The sequence below is a fragment of the Homo sapiens genome, chromosome 3 (genome assembly GCF_000001405.40).
Source record: "Homo sapiens chromosome 3, GRCh38.p14 Primary Assembly".
Taxonomy (NCBI): Eukaryota; Metazoa; Chordata; class Mammalia; order Primates; family Hominidae; genus Homo; species Homo sapiens.
In genome coordinates, this window is record NC_000003.12 from 50,545,915 (window position 1) to 50,558,024 (window position 12,110).

At 56.4% G+C, this 12,110-nt stretch overlaps 2 annotated features.

The window, feature by feature from the left end:
- Positions 1,575 to 2,484: an enhancer, noted in NCBI's record as "H3K4me1 hESC enhancer chr3:50584920-50585829 (GRCh37/hg19 assembly coordinates)". NCBI's record gives its function as "activates a minimal SCP1, AML or CMV promoter by ChIP-STARR-seq in naive and primed H9 embryonic stem cells {active_cell/tissue: H9 hESC(naive and primed)}" and the evidence as "EXISTENCE:reporter gene assay evidence [ECO:0000049][PMID:30033119]".
- Positions 3,557 to 4,495: an enhancer, noted in NCBI's record as "H3K4me1 hESC enhancer chr3:50586902-50587840 (GRCh37/hg19 assembly coordinates)". NCBI's record gives its function as "activates a minimal SCP1, AML or CMV promoter by ChIP-STARR-seq in primed H9 embryonic stem cells {active_cell/tissue: H9 hESC(primed)}" and the evidence as "EXISTENCE:reporter gene assay evidence [ECO:0000049][PMID:30033119]".

Sequence of the window (12,110 nt, forward strand, 5' to 3'; positions counted from 1 at the left end):
AGCCCCTAGTGTGGTGCCTGTCCTGAGACTGGGCTCTACCAGGGTGCTGAAAGCAGGAAGCCCATCCCCCACCCCACCCAGGTGCTCCTGGAATGCAGAGGTTGGCTAAATGCACAGAGGTTCTCCAGGGCTCTTGGCCCTGAAGCCCTCCGGGTTTGTGCTGTGTTGCACAGCCCAGCTCTGGCCCTTCCAGACTTTGGGAAGAAGGTGCCCTGCTTGACTCACCTCTGGGAGGCTGGACCAAAAGAATCAGGGAGGACCCAGGACACTGGCTCCTGGCCCACCAGGACGCAAGGCTCAGGGCACTGGCAGGAACAGCTGTTGGTCGAGGCAGGGTAGGGAGGGGACTGTATGTAATCAGTAAGAAACCATGTTTTTAAAAAATAACTCTGCTGTCAGTAGTGGTGAAACAATATAATAAATATGAGAAATAAATCTCGTTACCATGTAATGAGCTGCCTTATTAATGTGTTAAACTTGTAAGAAATGCTTAAGTGTTTAATTGGCAACTAATGAGGGTGCCAATTAGGGATCATTATACATTTCTTTAAAACTCCTAATTGGCAGGGGGGCATTTCAATCAATGCCATAGGGCTGACTCCACGGGGACCCCGTCCCGGCAGTGCATCTGGTGGTTGTACCTGTAGGGCTACACATCTGGTGGCTAGCCCCATTGGAGACCACAACAAGGCCAGGGCCACCTGGGTTGGACCCGGCCGCAAACCCCACTGGGCACCAGGACTCAGTTTCTCCTCTGCCACTAAATCCTGCTGTCGATCAAAGCCCGCCTGAAATGGTGCCTGTCAGGAGGCTGCACAGTCCGTCTCACCAGATGGAAGGACTTGACCTGTTCCAAGGCATCAGGAGGCTGTGAACTCACTTAGGACCAGGACGGTGGTTCTCCACCAGTGCCCAGCTCCCCCAGGAGCCTGGAGGAAAAGTCACCAGGGGGCTGAGCGAAGGCTGAGCTGGGGCTGGGGCCACAGTGTGGGTAGTGAGTTCCTGCAGCTAGAGACAGGCTGAGAAACAATGCTAAGGTGCATCCTGGGGCACCCTTGGGGCCTCCCCAGAGGCAGGACCTGGGTCTCTATCTCAGCTAAATCCTGGGCTCCTTTGCATGCAGCCCCTGGCCCAAGGCTGCTTCAGGGCCAGGCAATGGGACTCAGAGTGGACCGCCTCTCCTGCCTCCAGGGCTCAACCCCATTTCCCAGGGAAAGTCAAGCCAAGTAGATCTCTATTCCAGGCCTGGCTGGCAGAAAGGGAGCATCCTAAGCAGCAGAAGCATGATTAATTACCAAATTAATTGCCAAATTAATCACCTGGGTAATTGCCAGAGAGCTGGAAAGATGGCAGGGAGGCAAGGCCCAGCCAGGGGCAGGGTGGGAAGTAATCCTGGCACAGGCATGGGCAGAGAGCGCAGAGGCAGGAGACTGGCTGCTGTCTGAGCAGATGGCCTGGGCACGATGGGAGGCAGCAGGTTGAGGACCTTGGAGGCCAGACTGGGGCATTCCATAGTTCAGAAGAAGCCTTGCAGGCCCGAGTAGGAGGATAGAAGGGCATTGGCAAATAGGGTGTGTCTGGGAGCTCGGTAGGGGTGGGTGGGAGGCCCAGGAAAATCTGGCCAGGTGGTACTTATGTCATGCCTATGAGTCTTGTGGGGAGGAGAGCGACTAGCCTTGGGGGCTGGGGGCTGGGAGAAGACCCTGGTTTGTGGCCTGGGGACTAGGAAGGCAGTGAGCATTCCTGAGCCAGACAGAGAACTGGTTGGGGAAAGGAGCCAGCCTATCCCCTGCAGCCTGTGGACCCCCAGCCCTCCTAGGCCCTGAGCCCTTCTGTGGCTCTTGTATTAGGAGTGATTGGGGAAGCGGCCAAGTAGCCTCAGCCACCCACCAGTTTTCAGGAATTTTCAGGACCCAGAGGGCTCACCCCATCCTCCCTGGTGGAAAAATACTCCATGACCTTGTGGCCCAAGGCTGCTGCTTAGAGCCAGGTCAGAGGGTTCTCTGGCCCCACAGCTCAGGCCCTGTCCCATCCTTCTCACCTGCCCCAGCTGCCCCTACTCACCTCTCCCAGGCTGGATCCGAGTCTGGGCTGTGTCTTCAGGAGGCTCCAGGTCAAGCCAGGTGTAGAGCAGGGGATTGCCCCATGACCCTGCCCCCACCTGGCAGTGGGGGACTTGGTGAGGGCACATGCACTGCTAGGTAGAGGCAACTTTAGCACTTGGGGCCACTCTAAGGTTTAGACCTTCCAGACCGTGGAGCCGGGAAGTATAATCTAGAACTGGGTGGCCCTGCAGACCCTGTGGACCTCAGGGCTGCTCGAGGGCTGAGCCTGTGTGTGGCTCAGAGGCCCCACCCCTGCAAAAGCTCTGTTCCCCGTGGGCCACCTTTCAGACCTTTAGCGTGTCATTTACTAAGCAAATATTTACCTAGTGTTCCTACGTGTCAGGCACTGTTCTAGACCCTCTACAAATACGGACTATTTTATTTTATTTTATTTTATTTTTATTTTTAGAGACAGGGTCTTTAAAGTGGAGAATGTGACCCGGGCTGGCCTTGACCTCCCGTGGTCAAGCAATCCTCCCACCTCAGCCTCCTTAATAGCTGGGACTACAGGCACATGCCACCATGTCTGGCTAATTAAAAAAAGGTTTGTTTGTTTGTTTGTTTGTTTGTTTGTAGAGATGGGGGTCTTACCGTGTTGCCCAGGCTGGTCTCAAACCTAGGGCTTGAACTCTTTTTATACTTTTTTTCCCATATCTTGGTACTCACTGGCATTGAACTCTTAATTCTATCAAGTAGGAGGACCTGCCCCATTTTACAGATGAAGAAACTGAGGCAAGAGGTTCAGGGACTTGCCTGGAGTTGCATGGTGGCTGAGCTGGGATTCAGATAAGCTCATTCATGTAGCAAGGGGCACTCAGAAGAATGCAGTTGCCCCAGGGCCCTTGGACAGGGGTGTCTGGGACACCTGGCACCAGGACCCATGGTATTATAGGAGGCAGAGCTGACTCGCCATGAGGCATGCCTCCTCTGGAAGCCCAAAGACATGTGGGGCCAGTCGCAGCTCCTCCCTGGAGTCCAGCCGCCTGCTGCACTGGATCACCGGGATCCCTGCTGCACTGGATCACCAGGAGTCCTGGTTCAGGAGCGGCTTGTTTCCTGCTGTCTGCCTTGCTGGAGATGATATATGCGGAAGAGGTGGTACATCTCCTACCCTCCCTCCCAGTCACAGCCAGGTTGCTGGAGGTGGCAAATGTCCCCATCTCACTTGTTCATGTTGGGGGATGCAGGAGCCAAAAGGAGGGGGCCCTTGGTGACACACTCAGGAACCCACCATGAGGGATGCAGAGGTAACCCAGGCCTGTTCAAGCCTGCTGTAGGAGTTCAACAGAGCTGGGTGCAAATCCTGTGTGACCTAGGACAAGTCACTCAGCCTTACTGAGACTCTGAGTCAGGTGGGGTGGCTGACGGAGCTCATGAGAGCTCTGTGGGGAGGAGCTGGGGGAGAGAGGTTGGCGTCTGGGAGCGGCTTTCTGCACAATGCCTTGGGTGGGCAGGGAAGGGAGCCAGGATTTGAAGTAAGAATGAGACAGGCATTTACAGTGGAGGTCTCAGGGAAGGCAAATGTGTGCAGTGAGAAAAGCCTGGGAGGGAATGATCAGATGACTCTGAGAGCCTGGGCCCTGACCACTGAGGGGCATGCCCCAACCTCACCCTCCCTAACCTCCGGCTAGCTAACCCTGCCAGTGGCCCAGTCCTGACAGCACTTATGGGACAGTAGCAGGTTGGCTCTCCCCCTGCTATGGAAGCTGTGTGGTGAGGCCTAGGGGCCTGACCCCTGTGTCATCCTCAGTGCTTACGACAGGCCCCTTCTGTCCCCCAGCTGCCCACAGGGCTGCTGCATCAAGTGGTAAGGCCTTGGGGTTCAGTCTTTATCCCATGCTGGTGGAGGCTGTCCAAATCCCAGGGCAGGGCCCACAGTTTAGATGCACTGAGCCCAGATAGGTGGGCCCTGATGAGAAGAACCACCCTCCATAATACAAATACAAATAGCTGCACACTTTCACTGATGGCTCTCCATGTGCTTTTAATATATTAATTCATTTAATTCCCATGAGGCAAGAACCACTTATTCAATTCTCCATTTGATAAATAGCCCTGAGCACCCACTATGTGGCAGGCTCAGGATACAGTGGTGACCAGACAGTGTCCCTGACCCAACTCCAGTCCAGACCTGCTTCTGGCAGGGAGGAAGCAAACAGCTCCAATGCAGCAGCCTCCCAGACCCCAGGCCCCTAAAAAAAGCCTCAAGGCCAAATTTCAGGCAAGCCCCTGCTTACTCCCACCTAATAATCTGGGTCTGCACCGCCACCTGGTGTTCACACTCAGAATGGCCCCAAACAGTGTGCCCTTGCCTCCTCCACCAAGGAAACTTGCACCCACCCCACCCACCCAGGTTTGGGATGGTCACCATTTGGGCGATGGGAACGGGCCTCCTGGGCCCCTTTGGAGGGTGTGGAGGCGGGTGCGGTCTCTCTGGGGGAGTCATTCAGCAGCACCTGTTGTCCCAGTGGCTCTTACAGAGCAGCGTCCAACAGATCCACTCCCCACCCAACACCATCGTCTGCAACAAGGGCCCCAGCAGAGCAGGCAGGATGAGTATCGCACATCGTGCTGGCCCAGCACCATGCGGGCGCTCCATGCCCGCAGGACTCACCTGGTGAGGTCACCATCTTAGTGTCCTGGCTGTGGGGAAGTTCACGTCCTTCACCCCTTGCCCCCTGCCCAGCCTGAAACATCCACTGCCACCTTTTATCAAACCCAGCACAAGGCCCAGCAGATGAAAGCCTTGCCTCGCCCCCAGGCAGCGGTGTCAGCTCCTCTGGAGTCCCCTGTCCTCAGCTGCCTCTCTGGTCACTTCCTCCTGAGGGTGCTGTCGTTGCTGTCAATGCTGCCATCCTGGCTCTCCTGCTGGTGGGTCTCTTCCAAGTCCAGAACCGACTGGGTGCCCCTCAGCACCAAAGCCCAGCAGAGGGCCTGCTGTAGAAGAGCTAGGAATGTGTGAAGAGAATAAATGAGTGGTGTCAGGAGAAGCCAGCTCTGTCTTCAGAGAATATTCTTTCCTTCTTTGGGGGTGTGAACTCAGGTTCACCCACCTGGGACCAAATTCAGGCCCTGCCTTGTGCTCAGCAACCCTACTGCCCTGTGCCTCAGTTTCCCCGTCTGTAATGTGGGAGCACAAGGGGTGCCCACTCTGTGGGTTGCTGGGGAATTAAATGGGCTCGGATTCTGTCTGTGAGTGCCCCAGGAGGTCCACACGCCCACAGACTCTGGGCCTGACTCATCTGCAGGGATTTATAGCAGGAATCTTCCTGCCTCCTTCACCTGGAGTTTCAGAGTGTCATTTTTATTGACCCATTATCGAGCCGCTGAGAAATCCCTTAAATCTCTCATAATCTGGTGTTCTCAGGCTCCTCTGGGTAAAGAGCTTCCTGATGAGCTTCAGCTGGGGCAGGGTTTGGCCCACACTCTCATTCCTTGGACCTCTGGGGCCTCCAGCCTGCTAGCAGGGTGCGGGAGGAGGGTAGGGGTTTAATATCAGCCTGCTGGGCCTCAGCTGGGGAGGGGCCTGAGATTCCGGTGAGTGAGGTATCCAGGGCATGAGACTTAAGGAAGCACACACATTAACGTTGGTGAAAGTGCAGTGTCAGTACCCGAAAGTGAGTGGCTCCTTAAATTTTGAAGCCTAGGCCCTTCATTCACTTGGCCTAGTCCTGTCCCTGCCAGTTGATCCCCACATCAGGGCCTGCAGTCTGGGGGCTGCTCTCCATGCCACATGTGGGAGAGGCCGAGTGCAGAGAAGAGATCTGAGGATGGGACCACAGAACCCCTGGGCCACCAGACAGGTGACCTGCCTGAGGGTGGCAGTGCCTGGAACTGCAAGCAGGTGGCAGAACAGGTTGGCATGGAAGGCTGGCGTGTAGATTGGGGAGTGAATTGGATAGTGCCTGCTGGGTGCCCTGTCAGGCCCCTGCACCCCCAGTCTCTGAGGCTTATCTGAAGCTCCTTTCTAGAATGGTGTGGGAGAAGGGCCAGGTTCCTGGCTCTGAGTCTGATGCCCTCAGTCTCTGGGTGCTGGGTCTCCTCCCCTGCAATAGGGGTGATCGTATACCCTCCCAGGGGCTACTGAGAATAAAGTGAGATGGTGCCAGATGGCGCCAATCAAGGGTAACTTATTAGGACCAGATTCTGGCCCTCGAGGTAGCCCAAGGTCCACTACCAAGGCCTTTCTGGCAGCTCTCCGGAGTTGTTGGCTGGAGCCCCTGGAAGTGCATGTATGGAATTGTTATACATGCCTGGCAGCGCTCCTGGCTGGGGATACAGGGGCCTGTGTGCAAAGCCACCTTACAGGGCTCTCAGTCCAGCACACAAGAGATGTCCTGGGTGAGGTAGATAGAATTGGACTGAACTCTCAAACCAGCCTCCATCCCACTAGCATCCAGAAAGGTGCCATGGGAAACCATAGCCAGGAAGAAACCTCAAGGTGGGCAGTACACCAAGAGGGAGCTCTAGGGTCCCAGGATCAGCCAAAAGGTGGTCAGGATGAGGCTTCCTGGGGTGAGGGGCTCTGCTGCTCTTTGAGGAGCCCAGGTTTGGGGAGTCCCATTTGCCAAGTGCCTCGCCCTCCCCACCTGGACCAAGGTTAGCGGTCCTATCTCTTTGACAGGGATCTCCATGAGCAAGACCACTTAGTCAGAAAATGGCCTGGAGGATTGTGAAATTGGCGACATTCCTGGGTGCCAGCTATGTGCAGGGAGCCGGCCCTGTGCTCAGGTTCTCCCCGAGCTCTGCCCTTGTGACCTGCCATCCCTGCCTCGCGGCTGCACGGCCCTGGGCCAGTCTCACTGCTTCTCTGAGCCCCGCTGTGCTTTCTCTGTAAGAGGGGGCTAATGTTTGTCACAGGGATTAAATGAGATGATGGGAGGGGGTACACAGCAGGCAGTAGGTACTGTGCGGTGGGGTAGGAGTAGAGATCCCCATGGACAGCCCCTCTCAGGGTACCAGGCTCAAGACAGGCATAGGCTCAAGTCCAAGTGGGGACTAGGGACTCAGACAGGGCTTAGACCAGCCCAGGCACTTGCCTTCTTTTAGAGTAAAGAGAGAACATTGGCCAGGACAAAATTCAAAGAGAAGGTGAAGATGAAGGGGCCAAGGCTGAGGAGCCTGAGGGATCAGGGAGAGCCACAGGTGAGGGACATCCCGGGGAAAGTCCCCATGAGGGTAGCCTGAAGCCAGGGGCTTTGTGTGTTCTCCGTGCCTTCCCTGCCGATGGCTCTGGCACAGGGGACAGCCCCCCACTTGCCTTGGCTTCCAGCAATGGTGTACCCCAGGTAGAAGGGTGCACCAGGTCCCTGCCCTGCCAGCCCCTCCAGCTGGACTGCAGGCTTTACCCAAGCTCCAGCCACTGGCTGAACTGTGTCTTCTTCTGTCACTAGGACAGATGGGCAGAGGTGGTGCCCAGGAGCATCAGGCAGCCCTCCTTCTCATACCCACGACCCCCTGCCCTCTCCAAAATCAAAGATGTGAGGTCCGCAAGGAGACTTCATCCAAATCCCCCTCCAAGGACCCCTCCTGAGAGACAATCCTTGCCCTCCACTTTAGACCTGGGAGACTTCGGGGCCTGGGAAGCAGTTATATTTGGTGTGGCTGGAGAAGCTCTGAATCGTTGTCTTTTTCCCAGGTTGTCTCTCCAAGATTCCCAGTGAAGGGGAAGCACCTAGTGACTCTGAGCCTTGTTGGAGCTTGGCCAGGCTGAAGGTGGGCCCAGATGACAGCCCCTAACCCCTTCCCGTCTCCACCTAGGCCTTCCCTTTTTAAACCCTATCCAAGCAATTCCTGCCTCCCACCTCCCCGTGCCTGGGCAGAAAAAGGGGCAGGATTGCTTTGCCCATTTTACAAATGAGTCAATGGAGGGCCAGGGGAGGGAACAGATCCTCCCTCCTGGTTTGGTCAGTTCATGCCAAATTCAGGACTGGGGCCTGAACCTTGAGACTGCCGAGGAACAACCCCCTCACCCCCATTTCTTGCTCCCTCTATGGCCCAGGACCTGCTCTTTCTCAAGCTTCCACCCCAACTCCCCTCCCCATTGCTCTGCCTGCTCACCCAGGCTGGAACCATGGGGCCATCTTCTTCTGCAGCCCCCAAACTCCTCAGGCAGGGCAAGCCTGAAGTTGGTACCAAGAACTGTGGTAAGGGGCCAAGTGGCTGCCAACCTCACTTTTTCCCTTGGTGTTGTGGGAAGAGCAGATAGCATGGGGCTCCAAAGCCCCACACAGTGAGGCAATCATGGACACTTCATTCAGCCCCTCTGACCACCCAGTTCCTCATGGGTAAACGGGGCTGGGCAGCTCTTGCAGGTCTGGCCCACTGGGGCCGTCCAGCAGCTCAGGCCTGGTGGCTTCTAACTGGTGACCTGCCCTCTTAACACCCCTTGGTGGGACTGGCTTTTATGTTATTGGGTTCCCCAGGCTGGGAATGAGGGGCTGCTCTGCTGGGCCACGAGCTGAACCCAGCGAAGGGAAGCTGGTGTTGCTGCCACAGGAGGATCAGCCAGGAGTGTGGCACCTCCTGGATGCTGCTGTGCCTGCTGGGAGAGAAAGCAGCACTCCACTGGGTTTCTTGGGAAACCCCACGGGTAGAGAATGTTTCTCACTGGGTTCTGTTGTTCTGTTCCACTGCTAGACAGCCTGTGCCACATCTGTCACAGCGACGGCCACACCCACAGAATGGGCAGCAGAGGCTGCAACATCCTGGCCTGCAACCCAGGTCCTGGTGAGTCAGGCAGAAAGTGAAGGTGGCTGGTGCCTGCTCCTCTGCCTCCTCCAGGCAGGCCTCCCTGAATGCAACTCTTGGAGATTGGGAGCAACTCAGTCAGCAGACTTTCTCTGACCCAGCAGACTTGGCTCTCAAGGGCAGCAAGCCCTCATTCACCTCCAAGCTCACGGTTGAGCGTACAGAAACTGCTTGATTCCTCCTGTGGACTCGGCATGAGGGAGACACCAGGGAGGCCCCTGTGTGATTTTTCACTTTGCTTTCAAGTTAAATGGTGTGATGGGCTACCTGAGATTTTGCTCAAAATGTGAACATCTGGCTCAGGCTGTGATCGACTGATCAGAGCTGACCTGGACTACTGAAGGCCTTGGTATCCCCTGGGTGAGGCCAGGGAGGGGGCCCCCTGGCCTCAGAGTAAAGACTCTCTAGACCTCCCTCCCCTGTCTGCAGATTTGAGTTCAGGGTAACATCTCCAGACAGAAACCTTGGCCCCAGGCTCCCAGAGGATCACCTTCCCAGCAGAACCCTGAGAGAGAGGGGGATCCTTGAAAGCTGAGGGCAGACCTGAGAAGCAGGTCCTCCTCCTCCGCCCAGCAGAAGGTCTCTTTGACACAGACTGCTTTCCCCAGGCCAGGGGCTGGGAAAAGGAAACCCCCTTCCCAGATGGGTCTCAGCTCCGCCCCCCTCTCTGCTTCCCGGACAGACCCTCTCCTGGGCTGAAGGCTGTAGCCCTAGAGTTTTCTCTGGGATGGGGGAGGGGACACCCACTTCTTGTTCCTCCCTGTATGCCTGCTGCCCTTCCCTTAGCTCCCTTGGGTTGGGGGAGAGGGGCAGGGAGTTGTTCCTGGGGAGCAATGACACCTGCCCTGATCTTCCACTTGCAGGACCAAAGCACCTAGGGTGAGGGGGGCAGGGACTGCTGCCAAGGAGCTCTGATGGCTGAGGGGAGGTGAGAGAAGGTGCCACAGGCAGACCCAGGCCCAGGTGGGATGGCATCCTAGTCCCACCCCACCTAAGGGGTCTCCATGCTCTCCCCCTCCCTTCCTCCTTTCCCTGCAGCTGATGTCTACATACTTCTTGTTCTTTTCTCAGCAACTCTGGCCTTTTAGAGTGTCCCCTGGTTGACTAAGGCCCCCTGTCCTGAGCCCTCAGAGGACAAGGTGTGTGGGGATGTCAAAACAGCATCTCCTAGGGTTCCCCCAGATATCATTGACCATGGCTCTCCACACTGAGGCCTGCTGAGGGGTGCAGCTGGGCAGGATGGGGTGGGGTGTCTGCCCTCAGCCTATAAAATCCCTAGGCACACCCTGCCCCCACCCCACCTTCTTTTTCCTACAGATGTAGATATAGAGATATATAGACCTAAACAATGTGTGTTATGTGTGTACACACACATACACACACATCTTTTTTCCTATTTGATATCTGTCTCCTCCATCTAAAATGGAAATGCAGAGTCTAGGTTGGTTCACCCTCAGGACCGTGGTGCCAGGCTCATGATAGACGCTTAGCAATGTTTCTGGAAGGAATCCACAGCAAGGTCAAGCTGCTCTACTGGAGTTTCTGGGCCCTCCCCCGCAAGAACTTTCCTTTACATTCTGTAGGCGTCCCCAGTGTCTGCCTGGAGCCAGGCAATGGGATTATTTCATTCACTTTGGCTCGAAGGTGACATTTCTCTTTATTAAACAAGAAGATGGCCTCTGAAGGCGCCGAGCCGCATCCACCCAGATACCACCTACCGCAAACTGCCCAGCTTCTGAGCCCAAGCCCTGGTTGCTACTCCCAAGGAAGGGTTTTACTTATGGAAGTGTGTGTGTGTGTGTGTGTGTGTGTGTGTGTGTGTGTGTGTGTGTGTGTGTGTGTGTGTGTGTTGTCGGGCAGGGGGCATTTCTCAAAGGGCTCCATTTAATAGTCAATTCCAGGAGTAGTGAGGCAGGCAGGTGACTCCATCTCATTCCACTGCCTGGCTGAGGGTGGTGACCACACCAGCCTCAAGGCCTCAAGGAGGACACACCAACCAGAACCTTTCACCCCAATATTTATTGACCCCACACTCTGGAAGACCTGGGAACTTGCTGGGAACTTGGTTTTCCTGCAGGACTGGGAATAAGAGCTAGAGGGCAGAAGGTGGGTGGAAGGGGGAGAAGGTGCCTGTGAGGGCACAAGAGGTGTGAACATGTGCCCTGGCACCCACAGAGACAGCTGCCCTGTGCACATCGTCTAGCCAAGCCCACCCCGCAGGAGAGGGGCATGGGGCAGGCAGCAGGAGCGGATGGGCACTGGGGTTCTCCTGGAGCCCCCATCCAGGTCCTGGTCCCTGGGAGCCAGCCTTATTCCACAGGCCCCTTTTCTTCAGGATCCCCCAGACGCTGGATCTTCTGAAGCTCCCACATCCCTGGGCTGAAGGCCCACCCAACAGGGTGGGAGGACACAGCCCACCACCGCCTTTCCTCTCACTCCATGCCCCTCCAGATCCTGCCAATCTGCTGAGGGGAGGAGACCTCTTCCAAAGATCAAGGCCATCACTGACAGGCTGAGCTGTGACCCCAGTGTCGTTGGCTCATGGGCACGTGGCCCTCCCCTCACCTAAGGCCCTGTCCCCCAGCCCCTTCCTCTAGCTCAGCCCTCCATCGTGGAACTGGGGGAGTGGGGGCTCGCCCGCCCCTTATTTCCATGACGCTGGCCTGAAGGCTCAGCTCTCTGGGGAGAGCCTAGATGTCACTTAGAGTCCTGGTTTTGTGGGACTTTCAGGGCTAAAACTGGAATAGTCCTGGGAAAACCAGGATGGCTGGTCACCCTAGTGTCATTCTCCCCCAAACCCTTCTGAACCCTGCGGGTGGATTCCACACAGATGACCCTAATGGCTTCCCACCCCCCACCCTTCCCCTGCACCCCTGTGCTCCAGAAAAAGCCACACTATTTTGCTTCCTTTCATGTTTCAGACCCAGCTCCTTTGGGTCCCGAGGTGCCATACCCCCGTCGGGGCCCTTGGGGCTCAAGCCCCCTTCCTCCTCCGGTCTCACAAGGTCCTGTCCAGTTGACCTTTCCACCCTAGGGGGTGACAGGCCTTGGGACCCCAATCCACAGTTGGGAAATGAAGCCCCAGGGCAACCTCGAAGTCAGGGCCAGAGGCATTTCCTCAGACGGCTCAAGAGAAACCTGGGGTGCCACCTCATAGCTGTGATCCAAGCAACTATCCCCAGGCCCCCCACAGCCCCTCACCCATCCTGCCCCTCCTAGGGTTCCACACCCCAAGCGTCACAGGCTCACACACTC